This window comes from Homo sapiens, chromosome 1 (assembly GCF_000001405.40).
Source record: "Homo sapiens chromosome 1, GRCh38.p14 Primary Assembly".
In the NCBI taxonomy this organism is placed as follows: domain Eukaryota; kingdom Metazoa; phylum Chordata; class Mammalia; order Primates; family Hominidae; genus Homo; species Homo sapiens.
In genome coordinates, this window is record NC_000001.11 from 186293256 (window position 1) to 186314622 (window position 21367).

At 38.0% G+C, this 21367-nt stretch overlaps 2 protein-coding genes and 1 pseudogene across 6 annotated transcripts in view; 1 reads left to right on the forward strand and 2 right to left on the reverse strand.

Annotated features, from left to right (window-relative positions):
• PRG4 (proteoglycan 4) lies at positions 3018–21312 on the forward strand. Of its 5 annotated transcripts, NM_005807.6 has the most exons (13): positions 3024–3038; positions 3591–3696; positions 6836–6958; positions 8337–8456; positions 10853–11002; positions 11539–11667; positions 13063–15885; positions 16538–16615; positions 17779–17915; positions 18185–18341; positions 18920–19117; positions 19514–19639; positions 20426–21312. In NM_005807.6, exons 2-13 carry the CDS (start codon positions 3621–3623, stop codon positions 20521–20523), a joined length of 4215 nt encoding a protein of 1404 aa, NP_005798.3. In that variant the 5' UTR covers positions 3024–3038; positions 3591–3620; the 3' UTR covers positions 20524–21312. The 5 variants fall into 5 exon arrangements, with proteins under 5 accessions (NP_001290161.1, NP_001121180.2, NP_001121181.2 ...); NM_001303232.2 differs by lacking the exon at positions 11539–11667 and having other exon boundaries at positions 3018–3038; NM_001127708.3 differs by lacking the exon at positions 6836–6958 and having other exon boundaries at positions 3018–3038.
• The window catches only part of TPR (translocated promoter region, nuclear basket protein), a 63602-nt gene continuing 60631 nt past the window's right edge, over positions 18397–21367 (reverse strand). Inside the window, exon 51 of the mRNA NM_003292.3 lies at positions 18397–20771. Within this exon, the coding sequence (NP_003283.2) occupies positions 20716–20771 (56 nt within the window). The 3' untranslated portion in view covers positions 18397–20715. The remainder of the gene's footprint in view (positions 20772–21367) is intronic.
• Positions 18582–18673, reverse strand: RNU6-1240P (RNA, U6 small nuclear 1240, pseudogene; annotated as a pseudogene).

The following is a 21367-nucleotide window of genomic DNA, read 5'->3' on the forward strand; positions in this document are numbered from 1 at the left end:
TACTGCTGCCAAGCATAAAACTGATGTTCATGAGGTTGAACCCTGTGAAAATCATCCCTAGAAGAGGTCTCTAGGATTCAATATTGTATATGTCCTCTCCATGTCTCTTTACTCTCCGCATTTCCCACACATCAAAAACCAATTCTGGAATAACTTTTATCCCAATTAAATGAGATTTAAGTGAACATTAAGAAAATACCTTTAACAGAAGGGAAATCTTAAAGGAGGAACCTATAAACAAATGGGATGATTGCAGTGTGTGATCAACAAGGAAGGTTAAGTGGATCAATATTCACAGAATGGAGTATGCAGCACAGTTTATAAAAATCTATTTAATAGGCCAGGCATGGTGGCTCACACCTGGAATCCCAGCTACTCGGGAGGCTGAGGCAGGAGAATTGCTTGAACCCAGGAGGCAGAGGTTGCAATGAGCCCATATCACGCCACTGCATTCCAGCCTGGGTGACAAGAATGAAACTCCATCTCAAAAAAAAAAAAAGAACAAGTGGATATTAATCAATTCAAGAATTTTATTTGCCATCACCATTATGAGATTAATACAAAGTAGGAAAATGATAGTGCATATAGTTCAAAAGGCAATGATTAGAAAACAATTTATATCTTATTTAAAAATATGTATCTCTGGGTATATTTGTATCTGATTTGGACATTCCCAATAGTCCAAAGAAATAATAAAGCAACACTGTAGAGGTCTTACTTGGAAAACTTACAAAGCTTGTAGCTTCCCCGCTGTTGGCCTCAGTAGAGCTAAGAATTAACAGAATTCTGTCTAATGTTCAACTCCATACACGATCTTTTGTGTGTCTATTGTGTATTGATTTCAAGTAGCAAAATGCATCTTTAGCCAGCTTCAGCTCCAAAAGGGGAACTTGCCATAAAGATACAGAGCAAGAAGTTGGGTCTAAAAAACAGAGTAACCAAGACTTAGAAAGTTATCAGAAATTTCTCTCTCTGCGTGGTTGCTTCATATTTATGGATCTTTTTACTCTGAAGGACTTTCTCTACTCCTTTAGACCATGGGCAGAAATGTACACATTATTGGTCTACGTAGACAGACAAATTTGTAATCTCTGAACTATAATTTCAAATTTCCAGGAGAAGAAAACATATTGGCTCGGGTTGTTCAAGTTCCAATTCCTAATCCTATCAGCTGTGGCTGATGTGGGAAGATAACATATATAACCAGAGCTAAAAGGAAAATAGCCCGATAGAAAGAGAAGTAGTTCCCAGAAAAGGGGGATTATTTAGAGATGAGCAGATAGCCTCGAAATTGTCTTTACATATTTAGTCCTGTGAAATAAGCACTGTAGAAAGAAAATAGATGCTTATAATTCTAGTCTTAAAAAAGTCACAATCTCACAAACCTATGTATACATGTAGAGTAAAGGAGTAAAATTTAGTATAATGATTACAAATTAAGTGATGGTTTTGATCAAAAGGGAGCTGGATGTAGTGGAAACATGACGGAACTTAAAATGCAAAGACATGGGTTCAAATCTTGGTTCTGGCCTCTAGTCTTTATAGATCCTTGGATGGGTCACACATTCTTCATTTGTGGGTCTTCATCTTCTTATTTGTAAATGTGGATGATTATATTTAACTTTAAGACATTTTGTGAGAATTAAATGCAGTACCTACCAAATGAGTAGTAGACAGCAGAATCCAGCCTACAACCATGTGGTTCACTGAACATGTTTTCTTTTTTTTCTTTTCTTTTTTTTTTTTTGAGACTGAGTTTTGCTCTTGTTGCCCAAGCTGGTGTGCGGTGGCGTGATCTCAGCTCACTGCAACCTCTGCCTCTCAGGTTCAAGTGATTCTCCTGCCTTAGCCTCCCGAGTAACTGGAATTACAGGCGCCTGCCACCACACCCGGCTAATTTTTTGTATTTTTAGTAGAGAGGGAGTTTCACCATGTTGGTCAGGCTGGTCTCAAACTCCTGACCTCAGGTGATCTGCCCACCTCAGCCTCCCAAAGTGCTGGGATTGCAGGGGTGAGCCACTGCACCCGGCGTGAGCATGTTTTAAACATATAACATTGGTGAAACAACTGGGCTGTATGTTGGCAATAGACTAACATATAGGTGTTGGTTGTCCTTAGGGAAATCATAGTCTGTTGGGGGTGTGAGACAGATGAAGAGATATTTTAGTAAAACGTAGTACAATTGTTTACTATAATTCTAGATGTGATTGGAATTTGATCTGGAAAGGTTTCAGGGAGGTGCTAGGACATGAGCGAAGCCTTATGTTGGTGGGTAAGATTTTACACCGATACATTCCGTATGAAAGTGGGGTAAAGCCTTGGGCTGAGCTGACTTAGCTCTGCAATGGTGATGGTTCACATTTTCATTGTGGGAAGGAAACAAAATTAGTAATTTAAAAGACCTTTTCCAAACATGCTTATCTTAAAGGAAGGATCTAAGGAAAATATCAATACATTTTTTAAGCAGATTTTTAAAATAATAAAGGAAGCTAGAAAATCCAGTGTCAATAATCTACCTGTAGGTAACTGAGAGCATGTTTTCTGTGCTCAGAGAAAATGAAACTACTCAAGAAATGTATATTTGATATAATGGTATAAGTATATAAAATGTATGCCACAAGCTAACACTAGGTAAATTTCAAAGCTACCTTTGCTAGATTTAACTGGAAAGCAGAAGAAATAAATGATACCAGTATGTGAATATTTTAAAGTTGCTGCTTCAATATACTAGTCAAAGTCTGCCAGAGCTATTTACCATCTCAGGACAATTTGTTCACTTCACTTAGAAATTAGAAATGTGCTCTGGCCAATACATCTAAATTTATTTTGTGGTAGTCATTTTGCTTAATGGAAGTGTTTTCCAGATGTTGCCTAAGTCTAGTCGTCTGGGCCCTTTTCCAATAAATGAGGAAAGTTTGATTTCATAGGTTGTCACTGTTGATTTTGTCTAACCTTTGGACTAATTGGTTCATCCCACTGTATTTGCACTGATATATAAGACTCCCAGGACGTGGGATAAACTCATCTATCCTTTACGGGTAAGTGTCAAAGTTAACTTGCTTCATAGAATTAAATGTGTTTTCATTAGAGGTGTTTGAAAAAAAATGTGTAAAGATAGTAGTTGGAAATTTTTGAAAAGGATTATGTTTATGCAATACACCTGTTGGAAGCCTTTGAATTTATATTGAGAATTAAGAAAAAGTTGGAACAGTAACTCCATGATGCTTATTAAATTACATTTCTGTGACACAGGTTATTATTTTCCTTAAGATAAAATTTTAACCTTGCACTGTTAAGTACATGCCATACTTTGGCTAGAGTTTTAAGATAAGTCTATTCTATATTGGAGATTTCTTAAGAATTAAAACTGTCAATAACGTGGCTGAGGGTGACTTGATTTGTTCTGCATAAGATTAAGTCTAATGGCCAAATATTTTCTATAAAATTAAAGCTGATTTAAAGTCTTGTTTCAAGAATGGGATGGTTTTATTATTGTTACATTTTTAAAGTTACTGAAATGTGTATAATGCAAGCCTAAGTTAGTGGTGAGATGAAAGAGCTGTTTTCTGATACTTTTATTTTATTTTCAGCAAGGGTACCTACGGTACCTGAAAACAACGATGGCATGGAAAACACTTCCCATTTACCTGTTGTTGCTGCTGTCTGTTTTCGTGATTCAGCAAGTTTCATCTCAAGGTAGCTTAACCATCGAACATACTTTTATTTAACAACTATTGCTAATCATTCAGTCTTGATTTTTATAACAACGGAAATATATTTCTAAAAATTTATATTTGCTTGAGTTTAATATACTGTACAACCTTAAAATAATATATAACATGTAGCCTGTTTGTAAGTGCTTTGGAATTCTCATCTTTTTCTCCTTTTGAGAGTTTTGAGCTTGTATAAAGAATAATTTTGGTACTTGTTATTTCTATGGTTCTCTCGAAAGTTTAAAAAGTGCAGACAGTTCATCATAAAATTATGCTGGAGCTATATAGTATCATAAAAATAACTAAAAAAGAACAATATTTAGATAACATGTAATTTTTGCCTATATGTTGAACAATTTGTTTTTTAAAATCAAATAAATTATTGATAAATAACTTATTTTGGCATCATTTAGACATAGATACCATATTATAATAAACTATAGTGTTTCAAATGGCATTTTATTAGTCTTGAAAATGTTCTCTTTTTCTTACAAGAACTATTTATCCAGGTATGGACATATACAGATGTGACTGTCATTTTGTGTTATAACATTAAACTTTTCACAGTTCTCCCAAAACAGGTCCTGGATGAATAGTTCTTGTTACTCATTTTTAGAGACTGTTAAAGTACATTCAGTGAAATCACATTAGTAAAAGATGCTAGCATGCCATCTAGGGGGATTAATAGTAACAATGCCAAGCTTTGGATTTTTCTTTTCTTTTCTTTTCCTTTTGTTCCCCTTTGATAAGCAAAATCTGAGAGAATAAAAATCAAGATTCATGACAGTTATGATGAAATTATGTTTCTAAAGTAAACATTTCCAGTAAAATACGAGATTCTTATGAAACCTGAACATGAGTGGTAACTGTCTGCATAGGCATAAGTTGCAGAATTGTTTAGATAAGAAAAGACAGGAAAACACATGAAAGCAAATGTGAATATTCAATAAGAATGATGACTACTCCAGTATCTCCAGACCCTTCGGCTTTCTCGTAACACTATGACAAGGTTCACAACACTGGGGGCACTTTCTAAACTGCCTTTTCCTCTGTGATACAATTGGTTGTTCACTAAAACAGTGTTACTTTCATTTTAATTGTGATTAAATAAATCAAATTAAAATTAATGGGGCTGGGTGTGGTGGCTCACACCTGTAATCCCAGCATTCTGGGAGGCCTAGGGAGACAGATCACCTGAGGTCTGGAGTTCAAGAGCAGCCTGGGCAACATGGCAAAATCTTGTCTCTATACAAAATACAAAAAAATTAGCCAGGTGTGGTAGTGTGTGCCTGTAATCCCAGCTATTCGGAGGCTGAGGCAAGAGGATATCTTGAATCCAGGAGGTGGAGGTTGCATTAAGCTGAGCTTGCATCATGGCACTCCAGCCTGGGCAACAGAGTGAGACTCTGTCTCAAAAATAAATAAATAAATAAATAAAATTAATGGTTACAATTAATAGCAATAAAAGTAGGACAGACACCTAATCTATGAAAGTAAGCTTTTCCTGTAAGGATGATTTCCTCTTTTTTTTTTTTCTTTTGAGACAGGGTCTTGCTTTGTCTCCCAGTCTGGAGTGCAGTGGCACAATCTTGGCTCACTGCAACCTCCACCTACGGGGTTCAAGCGATTCTCCTGTCTCAGCCTCCCGAGTAGCTGGGATTACAGGCCCCTGCCACCATGCCCGGTTAATTTTTGTATTTTTAGTAAAGACAGGTTTTCACCATGTTGGCCAGGCTGGTCTCACCTGACCTCAGGTGATCCGCCCGCCTCAGCCTCCCAAAGTGCTGGAATTACAGATGATTTCTTATTTCAGAAATCTGCCAACTATAAAAGAGCAATCTCTTGATACTGTCTTGTCTGCTTCTCTTGCTTTCTCAACCTCTTCTCATTCTCTTTTTTCTTTATATATAATATATGTATTTATATACATACACTATATATACATTTTTGTATGCATTATGCACTCATGTACGCAAAAAGTTCTGAAAGTTGTCCTACAATTTACTGTTTTATTTGCATATTCAGACTTTGGCATTCCTGGACTCTATTCTTTTAAGATTTGTTTTCAGTGTGTTTCAACATTCCTTTGTGGATTTAGGACAGTACACCTGCCAATTTCTATTCCAGGGATGGATTCCATTGTCACATTTCTGCAGTCATTTCTCAGGGAGGGTTTTAAGGTGGTGTTTTCCAAATGACTTTTAAAAAATATTTGAGAATGAGTATGCTTTTGTTATTGTTTGCTTATTTGTTGCCTGGAAAACCTCTGTTCATGACCTTTATAGTTATGCCCAGTTATTTTAAGGGTTCTCACTTCAGCAGTGGTTGTAAGCATCTGCCTCCCCTGACATTTTAAAAATCCAGTTATCCCCACCAATTAAGGAAGAAAAAGCTCAGTAAAGTTTATGCTGGTGCAACCAGCGTGCTTTAAACTTATCCTCAGGAATGGGAGGCAAAGCGACAGGTGGAAACATCTCAGGCTTAAAATAAGATATATCAGAGTTCAAATTCTGGATGGATTGTTTACTTAAGGTGACCATAAAATGTATTATCTAAATTAGGACAATTATAAGGGTAAAAGAGTTCACTACAAATAATTGGGAGGTATTAATTAACCTATGATGCCAATATACTGGAACTATTAACTAGTCGTGTGATAATGAGCAAGTTGTCAAAATTTCTGTGTTTCAGCTTTCTTAGCTCTAAAAAAGGGCTACTAAATCCTGGAAACATTTTCATAAGCATTAGTGATAATGTATGACTCAGCACCTGGCATAGAGAAGCTCAATAAATGGCAACTGCTAATCATCAAAACCACAGATCGGTAGTAGCTGTAGCTGCCACCTCTTCCTTAGGAGTATCACCCTCTTTAGGCAAAGCCATTACTTTGCCTGGTTTTCAAAAATGTGTTTATCATCTCAGTCTAGTGAAGAATAAAGTGACATAATTGAGATCACCTAAGACATCAGCCAAATATCAGCTGGGCCTATTGCTGACATCATTCCAACACCTTCTCGATCAATAAAATTCTCTCTCACCAAGTGGCTTTGTCCCCCTCGTTAGATTGCTCCCTTTCTATAAAGTGGTTTGGCCATATTTACGCCAGTATTGTATAATTTTAGATTTATCAAGCTGTGCAGGGAGATGTGGGGAAGGGTATTCTAGAGATGCCACCTGCAACTGTGATTATAACTGTCAACACTACATGGAGTGCTGCCCTGATTTCAAGAGAGTCTGCACTGCGGGTAAGTCCTGAGAGCGGGTGTCTCCTCTGTCAAGCAACACTGCGAGTCTGTGAGTCCCCCCTTGCACCCTCGTGCAGTGCTGTGAGACTGAGCCTCCCCTTGCACCCACTTGCAGTGCTGTTTTCCCACTGTATCACTTCCTTTGCTTAAGTGACTTTCCTTCACTTGCATAAATGTTGCAGCGCATTGTACCTAAGGATGGTGTCAAAGCTTGTGATTATTGGGGAGGGTAAGGGGAGCCTGGAAGTCTGTCACTTGCACAAGGTTATTGTCTAGTTCCAAGTAAATGTCTTATTTTAAATAGAGAAGATACTGTGAGTCAGGAGTCATTAAGTAAATAGTAAGGAGTAATTATTTACAATCAGAGATGTCCTCGACTAGTAATGAGGACTTTCAATAGTTTCATCAAAAGAATACATGAGCATGGAATAATCTTGTCTACCATTGGACTTTCTGATGTTAACACGTTTGTAAATTACCTGGAAAAGACACTTTAAAGATAAAGTGCTAGTGTTTAATGATGAATTTCAGTTAAAATCTGAAGGTCTGAATTTTAAATTATGAGTGGTGTTTCACTTGAATATATTTTGGGCCATTTTATTATTAACACAGAAACATTTCCTATTCAATTTAAGAAAATTGTAATTAAAGTTATTTGAAAGGTGTATTTGCTTTAGAATTTGAATGTGAAGTTGAGGAATATATTGTGCAATTTATGTATTGGATAGGTAATTATTTCAAATAAGCCTTGGTAAGTCCCTGTTAACTCTAACAAAGGCTTTTTAAATTTTCATTTTTTAAATGAGTAGTCCTCCCTAACATAGTCCACACTGTAAGATTAGGCTGAAAGCTTTCAACTATACACCTTCCCCAGTTTGTCATAATAAGGGCCTCTGCATTACAAATGATTTTTAAGCCTCAAAAATGACCCATTTACGTGGAATATATATACATATATATTTATATGGAATATATTGCTGAGATCTGTACATTCAATTACTGTGAATCTATTACAAAGCAGTGTGTGAAGAGGAGAAGGATGAAGAGATTTCATATGAAGGCTATCTCACTATCTAGACATTTCCCGATTTTTCTTTGTCCATACATGTAAATAACTCGGGCAGCATCAGGATGTCTCTTGGAGTCTGGAAGGGCAAGAGGAGTTGCCCTCAGTCACCATATTTCTTTTTTGACTTGGGCTGTCTCCATCTGGGATACCATCTAATTTTTCCTGGATGATGTACTCCAAATTTCAAATAAAAGACTTAGAAATGAACTTTTGGAAACCTAGTCAAGTCTAAGGTGGGAAATGGCTGTCAAATACGTGGGCCTGGCTTCACAATGAATAATCTGTAACTTCTTGTTTTGCTCTGGGTAGAGCTTTCCTGTAAAGGCCGCTGCTTTGAGTCCTTCGAGAGAGGGAGGGAGTGTGACTGCGACGCCCAATGTAAGAAGTATGACAAGTGCTGTCCCGATTATGAGAGTTTCTGTGCAGAAGGTAAGCATCACAGTACCAACCAATGCTTCTCAGTACAGCCAGATCTGTGCACCTACCTTAGCATCACTGATAATGTCTAACACGCAGTCCATCTTAGGCCTTGATTTTACTAACATATAAGCTATTTCATAATAATTTTGTTTTGTGGAGATGAATTAAAGAAGAAAAGCGCCTTCCAACAGCAGAACCCCCAGGCTCAGCCAGGCTCCAAGAGTACAAGATGTTGCCAGAGGGGGAACATAGAGGATGAGGCTGAATGTATATGTCTTTTTTTTCTTCAGATATGGTTCAATTTCAGGTTAAATCAACAGTAATCAAATCACTTGATGATTTCTTGTCTCACCCTTGCTGACTTCACGAAGTCAACTATCCTTTGAGCTATCTGTGCTTTTGGCCTCAGTGTTTGAGTATATATTTAAGGACATAAGCAACACTTTCAGCTTCCCTAAACCAGTAAATTTATGAATTAGTTTAAGCCATTAAATTTATAGGCAAATCTACCTAACACGTTGTTAACTGTCATGTTCCTTCCCATTTCTGCAGTCTCCTCAGCAGTCTCTATTCCAATACATGTGCATGGTAAAGTCAATAACAAGGGATATTCCCATCTTAAAATCAAATTCTCTATTTATAGGTCTTGAAGGACTCCTCTAGAGTATAACAAAAGGCTCCAGATTTTACAGAAAAAGATTTTAAAAATATACTTGAATACTGGATTACTTTCCTTTACCAAATGGTTGTTCTTAAATTCTACTTTGTTAAAACAAGAATATTTGTGGAGGTAAAAGTGAAAATAAGCTTTGCTTGCATAATCAATCTTATCATTTTATTTAAACAAGCCTGCGCTTCCTGCTTCTTTAGAACAGTGAAGAAAGATCGGAAAACTGCTAATCAGCAGAATTGAGAGATGTTTCTTAACCGTTCAATGTTTTCATGGGAAAACATTCCAAAAATGATGAAGACAACACCCTTGTAATAAAAACCTTAGAGCTCACCCTTCCTGCAGATTTTAGCAGGCCCCATGATGAGTGACACATATTTACTCATTACCCTAATTGTTTTGGCTGTGAGACAAGAAAGCTAAGAATTTGTTTTGGGCAGAGGATGTCTAGGGAGTGAAGATGGTTAGAAAGTGATGAGACATTGAGAGAACATTTTGATAAAGATAATACTTTATGTTATGAAATATTTGGTCAGATTACCTAAAGTTTAGGTAGAACTCTGAAAAAAAAATGATGAAGGCGATGCTGGCCAACTTTCTTTACAGAATTCATAAGACAGTCAGCGTCCCAACTTAAAATAATAAAACCACTCAGAACCTCAATACTTCATTTTTTAAGTGTAATAACCAAACTATCTTGAGATTCACTACTTAGTTGTTTCAGTATAGATACTACTTACAGGTGTCTATATATCTAAAAATCATAACATTTCAAGAATTGAAGGAATCCCAGCCATCCAAGTGCCTCTGAATGTGAAAGAGAAAACAGAGTCCAAGAGGTTAACCATTTTGGCCAAGAACATTAGCTAGTACATGGCAGATCTGTTTCTCAAATTGAGATACTTGATGTTTTTGCTGGGTAGGAGGAGAAACAAGAGGGACAGTGGCCAGTTCACGGAGACTATAGCAGTAGGGTTCTGGGGCGATGTTGCGGGGAGCAGCATGATTTATCACAACCCTTCTGTACCCAGAGAGTCCCCAGTGCTGTTTTCTTATCCTTCATTAGTCCCTCTTCTTGTTCCTAAAAAAAAAAAAAAAAAAGAAGTTCCATGTTTTCTCTTCTAGACTGAGAAGCGGAAAAGGGAAGGGGACTAAAAGGTTAAAAAGATACACACCAAACCATTAAGTTGTATCTTTGGGAAGGGCAGGGCATTTTGAGGAAAAGCACAATGTGAAGGTGTGAACTTTTCACAAGAATATTCATGTAGAACTTTTGTAATTAAAAAAAGAACAAAAGGCAAATTGGCATCATTTAATTTAAATGAATATTAAAACAGAAAAAAATGAATACTAAAACAGAAAAAAATTCTGAAGGCAAAGACCTTCAGAAATCATCTTGAATAAACATCTTAGTTTGTAGACAAGAAGATGAAGTTCAAGATAATTATTTGCCTAAGGTCACAATGGTAGAGGCTCGCAGGCCTAGGACTGGAATTTAGGTCTTCTGATTCCTGAGACTTTGCTCCCTGTCATAACTTACAACAATTTGAGAACCAGTATTTTATAGCAATGCATCCTTAGACTTAAATGGAGTCATTCGTGTTGAGCTGGAGCCTGCCTGCACTGGCTGTCACCAGCATCTACTCTTGAAGCTAGATGCATCTGTGCTTTTCACAGTTAGAGCTGCTGATGAACATAAACAAGATGTTAACTGACTTGTCTTACTTGGCCTCAGTGCATAATCCCACATCACCACCATCTTCAAAGAAAGCACCTCCACCTTCAGGAGCATCTCAAACCATCAAATCAACAACCAAACGTTCACCCAAACCACCAAACAAGAAGAAGACTAAGAAAGTTATAGAATCAGAGGAAATAACAGAAGGTAGGAAGATGACAGATATAATCAAAGGAGCTTTCTTAGATGAAGTAACTTGTAGGTGACTGCTTATCTAAGCCCATTCTCAGAGAACAGGGTAATCTTAGGAATCATGAGCCTCATTACACTCGAAGGTTTTAGACTTTGCTTTTAAGTAAAGTTTAAGACAAAGTATAAACTCTCAGCTCTTTCTGTATTTACCAAACCCAGCATGAGTCTGGGTTAAAACAAATCAGAAGGGACAAATCTTACTATAAAAAACAAAAACCACCCCATGATTTTCTTTGTAGAATAATTTGATTCTGTGTTTTGGAGGATATGGGAAAGTTGAGAGATACTAGTAATACTGCTAGTATCTGTGATAAGCCCAGGTGCCTTGCTTTTAACTGACAGATTAAAAGGCAGTTGGTCATATTACTAATAAAAGCAAAATCCAGATACTTGTAGACTAGTAAATAGCACTTCTTGCTGTGTTTAGACTGGTGGTTCTTTTTTGTTTTAAATCACAGTTGGTGTGATCAAACTTTCTATTTGATTTATAGAACATTCTGTTTCTGAAAATCAAGAGTCCTCCTCCTCCTCCTCCTCTTCCTCTTCTTCTTCAACAATTCGGAAAATCAAGTCTTCCAAAAATTCAGCTGCTAATAGAGAATTACAGAAGAAACTCAAAGGTTTGAGCATTGATAAAGATCAAAGACTGTATCAATGCCATATTAACAATGATTATATTTAAAAGTAATGCGTGTTGGCAGAATGAGGACATCTTAATATGGGGGGGAATATAACTTTATGAATATTATCTTAGAAAGTACCAAATGAATACTTCCTACAGGAAATTAGTGCCAAGCGGCTAAGAAGCCACTCTAAAAGCAAAGGATAAGAAGATGCTGTAGCAGGACTGTGGAACCACAAGATGGCACCAGAGATGATTATTGATGGCTTTCTACTGTCATTCTTGTTTACTTGACATCATTTTGCTTCTTCTCCTTCATCTTCCTTGCATTTTCATTTTCCCTTCCCCAGCTTTATTTTAACAAACATTTATATACTATTGTTCTAAGTGTTTTACAAGTATTAACTCATTAAATTCTTACAAACCTCTATGGAAAAAATATTATCCATATTTTACAAATCCTCTTTATTTTCCTAGTAACTTATATATTATATCTGGCTGACTTTTCCTCTAGTAGAGACTGTGCTACAGAATAGGCTATTATTGCCTGAAAAGAGATTTCCTTTGCTGTTTATTATTTCCTGAAGTTCTGGTTCTAAATATATATTCTCTTTCTCCAGGAAATACTGGATTTTTGGATAAGGGAGTTTTAAAGAACTCTAAGAGGTTGTGATTTCCTCCGAAGCATTCGCTCTAAATAAATAGCCAGGCATTTAATCTTTTAGTCACCCAGAAAATCGTGCAGGAAGCCACCCTTGGGCTTTGTAGTCCACATGTGGGGCAGCTGCTATGGGAAAGCCTTGATAAATACTGTCTTTTTGCTGCCCATCACACCCTAAGCTCCTCCTTATGTCCCCTGGGACCTGCAAGGTTAGCTGCGCAGAAGAAAAGGAGTGGCTAATAGCCCTATGTATGGGAACAAGGCTCAGCAGGGACTGTGGGGGTGACTGGGGCAGATTGCTCAGAGGTAGCTGTAGAGGCCTCTGAGATAATTGGTGCAGCAAGATGGTAGTACTAGGTTTCCAGGAGGAAGGAAGGGACACTGGGCACTGAAGAATAAGAGTACAAAAAGTAGGGGGTAAAGAACATTAATATAAACAGATGAATTAGTGTTATTTATCGTGTTGGTAATTTTGAACTTGCCACTGACTTCCATGTATTAATTGTATAGAGTTTTATTTGTGCTTTTTCATCCCTCATCTCATTTATTCCCTAAAACAGCCCAATAAGATAGGTTGAGTATTTGCCATTTTACAACAAATTAAAGGACATAGTAGAGATTAGCAATTTGCTTAGAAACACACAACTAGTCAATGATAAAGATGGGATCTTTATGTCACTATTAAAGAAAAAAAAATATTCTAAAATAACAAGATGTATATTTTTTCTCCAGTAAAAGATAACAAGAAGAACAGAACTAAAAAGAAACCTACCCCCAAACCACCAGTTGTAGATGAAGCTGGAAGTGGATTGGACAATGGTGACTTCAAGGTCACAACTCCTGACACGTCTACCACCCAACACAATAAAGTCAGCACATCTCCCAAGATCACAACAGCAAAACCAATAAATCCCAGACCCAGTCTTCCACCTAATTCTGATACATCTAAAGAGACGTCTTTGACAGTGAATAAAGAGACAACAGTTGAAACTAAAGAAACTACTACAACAAATAAACAGACTTCAACTGATGGAAAAGAGAAGACTACTTCCGCTAAAGAGACACAAAGTATAGAGAAAACATCTGCTAAAGATTTAGCACCCACATCTAAAGTGCTGGCTAAACCTACACCCAAAGCTGAAACTACAACCAAAGGCCCTGCTCTCACCACTCCCAAGGAGCCCACGCCCACCACTCCCAAGGAGCCTGCATCTACCACACCCAAAGAGCCCACACCTACCACCATCAAGTCTGCACCCACCACCCCCAAGGAGCCTGCACCCACCACCACCAAGTCTGCACCCACCACTCCCAAGGAGCCTGCACCCACCACCACCAAGGAGCCTGCACCCACCACTCCCAAGGAGCCTGCACCCACCACCACCAAGGAGCCTGCACCCACCACCACCAAGTCTGCACCCACCACTCCCAAGGAGCCTGCACCCACCACCCCCAAGAAGCCTGCCCCAACTACCCCCAAGGAGCCTGCACCCACCACTCCCAAGGAGCCTACACCCACCACTCCCAAGGAGCCTGCACCCACCACCAAGGAGCCTGCACCCACCACTCCCAAAGAGCCTGCACCCACTGCCCCCAAGAAGCCTGCCCCAACTACCCCCAAGGAGCCTGCACCCACCACTCCCAAGGAGCCTGCACCCACCACCACCAAGGAGCCTTCACCCACCACTCCCAAGGAGCCTGCACCCACCACCACCAAGTCTGCACCCACCACTACCAAGGAGCCTGCACCCACCACTACCAAGTCTGCACCCACCACTCCCAAGGAGCCTTCACCCACCACCACCAAGGAGCCTGCACCCACCACTCCCAAGGAGCCTGCACCCACCACCCCCAAGAAGCCTGCCCCAACTACCCCCAAGGAGCCTGCACCCACCACTCCCAAGGAACCTGCACCCACCACCACCAAGAAGCCTGCACCCACCACTCCCAAAGAGCCTGCCCCAACTACCCCCAAGGAGACTGCACCCACCACCCCCAAGAAGCTCACGCCCACCACCCCCGAGAAGCTCGCACCCACCACCCCTGAGAAGCCCGCACCCACCACCCCTGAGGAGCTCGCACCCACCACCCCTGAGGAGCCCACACCCACCACCCCTGAGGAGCCTGCTCCCACCACTCCCAAGGCAGCGGCTCCCAACACCCCTAAGGAGCCTGCTCCAACTACCCCTAAGGAGCCTGCTCCAACTACCCCTAAGGAGCCTGCTCCAACTACCCCTAAGGAGACTGCTCCAACTACCCCTAAAGGGACTGCTCCAACTACCCTCAAGGAACCTGCACCCACTACTCCCAAGAAGCCTGCCCCCAAGGAGCTTGCACCCACCACCACCAAGGAGCCCACATCCACCACCTCTGACAAGCCCGCTCCAACTACCCCTAAGGGGACTGCTCCAACTACCCCTAAGGAGCCTGCTCCAACTACCCCTAAGGAGCCTGCTCCAACTACCCCTAAGGGGACTGCTCCAACTACCCTCAAGGAACCTGCACCCACTACTCCCAAGAAGCCTGCCCCCAAGGAGCTTGCACCCACCACCACCAAGGGGCCCACATCCACCACCTCTGACAAGCCTGCTCCAACTACACCTAAGGAGACTGCTCCAACTACCCCCAAGGAGCCTGCACCCACTACCCCCAAGAAGCCTGCTCCAACTACTCCTGAGACACCTCCTCCAACCACTTCAGAGGTCTCTACTCCAACTACCACCAAGGAGCCTACCACTATCCACAAAAGCCCTGATGAATCAACTCCTGAGCTTTCTGCAGAACCCACACCAAAAGCTCTTGAAAACAGTCCCAAGGAACCTGGTGTACCTACAACTAAGACTCCTGCAGCGACTAAACCTGAAATGACTACAACAGCTAAAGACAAGACAACAGAAAGAGACTTACGTACTACACCTGAAACTACAACTGCTGCACCTAAGATGACAAAAGAGACAGCAACTACAACAGAAAAAACTACCGAATCCAAAATAACAGCTACAACCACACAAGTAACATCTACCACAACTCAAGATACCACACCATTCAAAATTACTACTCTTAAAACAACTACTCTTGCACCCAAAGTAACTACAACAAAAAAGACAATTACTACCACTGAGATTATGAACAAACCTGAAGAAACAGCTAAACCAAAAGACAGAGCTACTAATTCTAAAGCGACAACTCCTAAACCTCAAAAGCCAACCAAAGCACCCAAAAAACCCACTTCTACCAAAAAGCCAAAAACAATGCCTAGAGTGAGAAAACCAAAGACGACACCAACTCCCCGCAAGATGACATCAACAATGCCAGAATTGAACCCTACCTCAAGAATAGCAGAAGCCATGCTCCAAACCACCACCAGACCTAACCAAACTCCAAACTCCAAACTAGTTGAAGTAAATCCAAAGAGTGAAGATGCAGGTGGTGCTGAAGGAGAAACACCTCATATGCTTCTCAGGCCCCATGTGTTCATGCCTGAAGTTACTCCCGACATGGATTACTTACCGAGAGTACCCAATCAAGGCATTATCATCAATCCCATGCTTTCCGGTATTAAGAATCAGTTATTTTCATTTTTAAAGCTGGTAATGTTAGTTTACATCTATCTGAACCAGAATGCCTTAGTTTAGTATCACTCAACTGAGATATATTACCTGACCTTGTTAGCTTGTGAAGTTTTACAGCTTCCCTGTAGGTAAGCAGAGGTGTAATTACAGTAAGCTTTTTCATTCTCTAGAAAATTAAGCCTGGGAATTTAGCATATGTGTGTCTGTGAGCAGCAGAGATGGTATATAGAAAGTCAAAAAAATTTAGTTCGGAGTCTATTCTTAAAAGTACAATGCAAAGCAAAAATCTGTAGTATCATTTTCCAAACTAACCCAAAGGGAGGGCAATCAGAACTGAAAGATGCAATTTCACATTGAGTTCATACATCCAAAAAATGTCTAGTTTACATGAAAATCAAGGTAACCTGGTCCATTCCAATTCATAATAATTTATTTCATATAATACTTTTGAAGAGTATCATCTTTAAGTAAAATGGAATTATCAAGTATATAACTATGCAAACAGGTCAAACTGTGTCCTTCAAGATCTTAGAAAAGGTAAACAGGAAATAGAACCATGTGGAAAGACTTGAAAAGAACATACAGACTTTTCTCATTCTGTTCTATATTTGTTTTGTTTTTGTTAATTTGTTTAGATGAGACCAATATATGCAATGGTAAGCCAGTAGATGGACTGACTACTTTGCGCAATGGGACATTAGTTGCATTCCGAGGTGAGCTATGTACACATTTATTTTTCTTCTCATCATTCTGTTTTGGCATTTATGAGAACCAAAGCCGTGGAAGAGTGCTAGTTTGGGTTGTTTTCTGGAGGGGAATCTGATTGATAAGCACACCTCACAGGAGAATCCGAGAGTAATAACAGAAATATTGGATTAAGAAAATTAGACAAAGTAACAAAACAAAACCAAGACCCTGAACTGATACTACTGAGGTTTTTTCCTACTGTTAAGATTTAAAAAGTAGTTCATTTTTTTTGGGGGGGGGGGGTAGTTAAAATTTAAAAAATAAAATAAAATTTTAATTTCATACCAAATGAAATGACACCAGCATGCATATTCACTGCTTTATTTGAAAATAACATCTCAATTGTGATGTGTTCAAGTGTTACACTCTCTGTCGGAGAGTAACAGAAGAAAAGTTATTTCATGTTAATTCTCTGCTGTACTCTGCTAGTCCAGTCTTGAAACATATTTAGATTAAATCTGAAAGCAATTCCTTTTCGTACAGTAGAGGCTAAAGAGATGTTAGTCATTAAATTATAATTCCTTAGTTCTAAGAGATAAAGAAATTGAGATCTAAAGAGATAGTGACTGTAAGTCACAAAGCCAAAAGGCTTTTTTGAGACCGGATCTCCCTCTGTCACCCAGGCTGGAGTAGAGTGGTGCAATTACGGCTCAATGCAGGCTCGATCTCCTGGGCCCAAGTGATCCTCCCATCTCAGCCACCTGAGTAGCTGGGACTACAGGTGTGCACCACCATGCCTGGCTAATTTTTGTATTTTTTTTTGTATTTTTTTTTTTTTGTAGAGACAGGGTTTTGTCATGGTGTCCACGCTGGTCTCAAACTCCTGGGCCCAAGCCATCTACCCGCCTTAACCTCCCAAAGTGCTGGATTACAGGTGTGAGCCACTGCACCTGGCCCAACCAATAGGCTCTTTCTAAAGAAACTAGAAAACTAAAGTATCTCAAAGGTTATGCTAAATTTCGGACTTGGGAAATACCTGCTCTCAGAAATGTTCAAATACTACCTTTTGTATCTGACTAAACTTCCAGTCATACAATGCATAAGAAAACTACATTTTTTTTCATTTTGGTTTCTTTTGTGATAGGTTTAGCATTCAGCTTGTAGGCTGATGTCTTTCCTTAAATTTTAGGTCATTATTTCTGGATGCTAAGTCCATTCAGTCCACCATCTCCAGCTCGCAGAATTACTGAAGTTTGGGGTATTCCTTCCCCCATTGATACTGTTTTTACTAGGTGCAACTGTGAAGGAAAAACTTTCTTCTTTAAGGTAACACAAATATCTTTGTGAGAGAAATTTAATAATAATTTGTAACTGCATTATTTATTACAACATATATTGCCTTAACCTCCAATATGTGTCCTTTTAAATACTCTGTCATCAAAATTTAATCATAATTCAACAGTTTGATAACAGTAATGGTCAAAATTCAACCGTTTAACCAAGTTAACACGTTCTCTCTATACTTAAATCTAGAAAGGAGTTCCAAATCTTTTTTCCCAAAGCTGATAACATAATTTTCTCTTTTAAATTATCAGGATTCTCAGTACTGGCGTTTTACCAATGATATAAAAGATGCAGGGTACCCCAAACCAATTTTCAAAGGATTTGGAGGACTAACTGGACAAATAGTGGCAGCGCTTTCAACAGCTAAATATAAGAACTGGCCTGAATCTGTGTATTTTTTCAAGAGAGGTATGTGTTACATAATTGACAAGATTACAAAACTTTTAAAGAATTACACTCAGCATTTTCATTTATTATTGACTTTACTGTCAAAAGATATCTTTAATGGCTGAAATCAAATATTTTCAGTGAAAAAAATCAATATTGAGGGTAGTATTCTTATTGCCCTCAATTTTTATTTTCATTTCTTCACAGGCAAGTCACAATTCATTTGAGTTTTCAGGTCACTGATAGAATGTCATTTACTTTCGCTTCACAAATGTGCATGTCATCCTTGCACAAGGGCCATGCTAATCTCTGTATCATTCCAGTTTTAGTATATGTGCTGCCAAACTGAGCACTTGTCACTTTCAATTGAAATTAAATATATAACTATGTAATTTGCTGCATCTATTCATTCAACAAGTATTTCAGTTTAATAATTATTTTTATAATACCCTTGACTAATAGCCATTATTAATATCAATATATTATATGAAAAATGAGAACAAAACTGTTTCCTATACATTGTAAAAGTTGTTTTCCACCTTTTCTGAGGGTATTAAAATTAATTTTCATTTTCCATGTGATATTCTAATACATAACAGGTGGCAGCATTCAGCAGTATATTTATAAACAGGAACCTGTACAGAAGTGCCCTGGAAGAAGGCCTGCTCTAAATTATCCAGTGTATGGAGAAACGACACAGGTTAGGAGACGTCGCTTTGAACGTGCTATAGGACCTTCTCAAACACACACCATCAGAATTCAATATTCACCTGCCAGACTGGCTTATCAAGACAAAGGTAACATTTTTATTGTGTTAAAAAAATCCTTAAACATAAGTAGATGTAATACAGTTTCTTATACAGTAAGGCTTATGAAATATGGATACTGATCAAACAGCCCTAATAATTTAAGCTTACTGATGAAAAACTCATCCACTTGCCTTAGTGAATAACCAAAGACCAATACTTTCTTTTTCCTTGTGGGTAAGTAAAGCAGTTTGTTCAGGTTTGTTAGTTATAACCAATACTATTTATCAAGTACTTCTTACCAAGAACATTATATACCAGTCTATAACCCTCAATAGTTCTACATCAGAGGGCTAAAACTGAGATTAAAACTCAGATGTCTGGCTCTTTCCAAGATAGTACATTGCCTTTTAATCTGGTATCTTTTATTAAACATGCCACTTACAGGTGTCCTTCATAATGAAGTTAAAGTGAGTATACTGTGGAGAGGACTTCCAAATGTGGTTACCTCAGCTATATCACTGCCCAACATCAGAAAACCTGACGGCTATGATTACTATGCCTTTTCTAAAGGTAAGGTATTAACTAACAGTTTCCCAAGGAGGTGATATCATTTGTGAAAACATGAAGATAAAGTAAAAATGCTGGCTGCAATGATGACTGAATGTGAGAAGTTACACTACGGTACTTATTCTAATTGCTGTGGAAAAGAGTTAAGACTTTTGCTTTAATTTCAATTAAAATGATGGCACTGCAATTCAATTCTGCTCTAACCTTCATGAGATTACGATAAAACATCCAGTTACTAGAGTAAACTTGCTACTGACAATAGTATTTTACTTCTATCATTTGTGGCATTTAACAGATACCTTGTTTGGCACAAGGTTATAATGATTTGCATCACTGCAGAGTCTGTAAGATCAGAAAGAAGTTCCTGAGAAACTAATTTTATTAATTAAATTATATTACTCAGGATGCTTTTCTTTGAAATGCCCAGAAATCTAAGTTATTCTGCCTGTAATTTCATAATATGAATGACATTGGCATGTATTTTTTAAAAGGAATAACCCCAAGTAAATTATTTTTCAAACTTGGTTACTCTTTAATGTTTACTTCATAAAGGAGAGCTGAACCTGATTTTACAAAAAGATGGTGAAATGTCAATCTTTTGAAACATCAAAAAAGCTGAAAAGTCTAGGCAATTGTTTTTCTTTTTGTTATAAAGTTCAAATTAATTAGTAAAAACATCTCTATTAAAATGATAAACATTGTCTTTGAGCATAATAGTCAACATAAGTTATTTTTTAGTTTGGGCATTGTTTTCTTTTTAACTAAAAAAATGTTTTCTCTTCCATTTAGATCAATACTATAACATTGATGTGCCTAGTAGAACAGCAAGAGCAATTACTACTCGTTCTGGGCAGACCTTATCCAAAGTCTGGTACAACTGTCCTTAGACTGATGAGCAAAGGAGGAGTCAACTAATGAAGAAATGAATAATAAATTTTGACACTGAAAAACATTTTATTAATAAAGAATATTGACATGAGTATACCAGTTTATATATAAAAATGTTTTTAAACTTGACAATCATTACACTAAAACAGATTTGATAATCTTATTCACAGTTGTTATTGTTTACAGACCATTTAATTAATATTTCCTCTGTTTATTCCTCCTCTCCCTCCCATTGCATGGCTCACACCTGTAAAAGAAAAAAGAATCAAATTGAATATATCTTTTAAGAATTCAAAACTAGTGTATTCACTTACCCTAGTTCATTATAAAAAATATCTAGGCATTGTGGATATAAAACTGTTGGGTATTCTACAACTTCAATGGAAATTATTACAAGCAGATTAATCCCTCTTTTTGTGACACAAGTACAATCTAAAAGTTATATTGGAAAACATGGAAATATTAAAATTTTACACTTTTACTAGCTAAAACATAATCACAAAGCTTTATCGTGTTGTATAAAAAAATTAACAATATAATGGCAATAGGTAGAGATACAACAAATGAATATAACACTATAACACTTCATATTTTCCAAATCTTAATTTGGATTTAAGGAAGAAATCAATAAATATAAAATATAAGCACATATTTATTATATATCTAAGGTATACAAATCTGTCTACATGAAGTTTACAGATTGGTAAATATCACCTGCTCAACATGTAATTATTTAATAAAACTTTGGAACATTAAAAAAATAAATTGGAGGCTTAAGGATTAGAAAACTTGTTCCATTTATTACTATTCCACATTCTATCATGTAATCCAGTTATGTCAGAA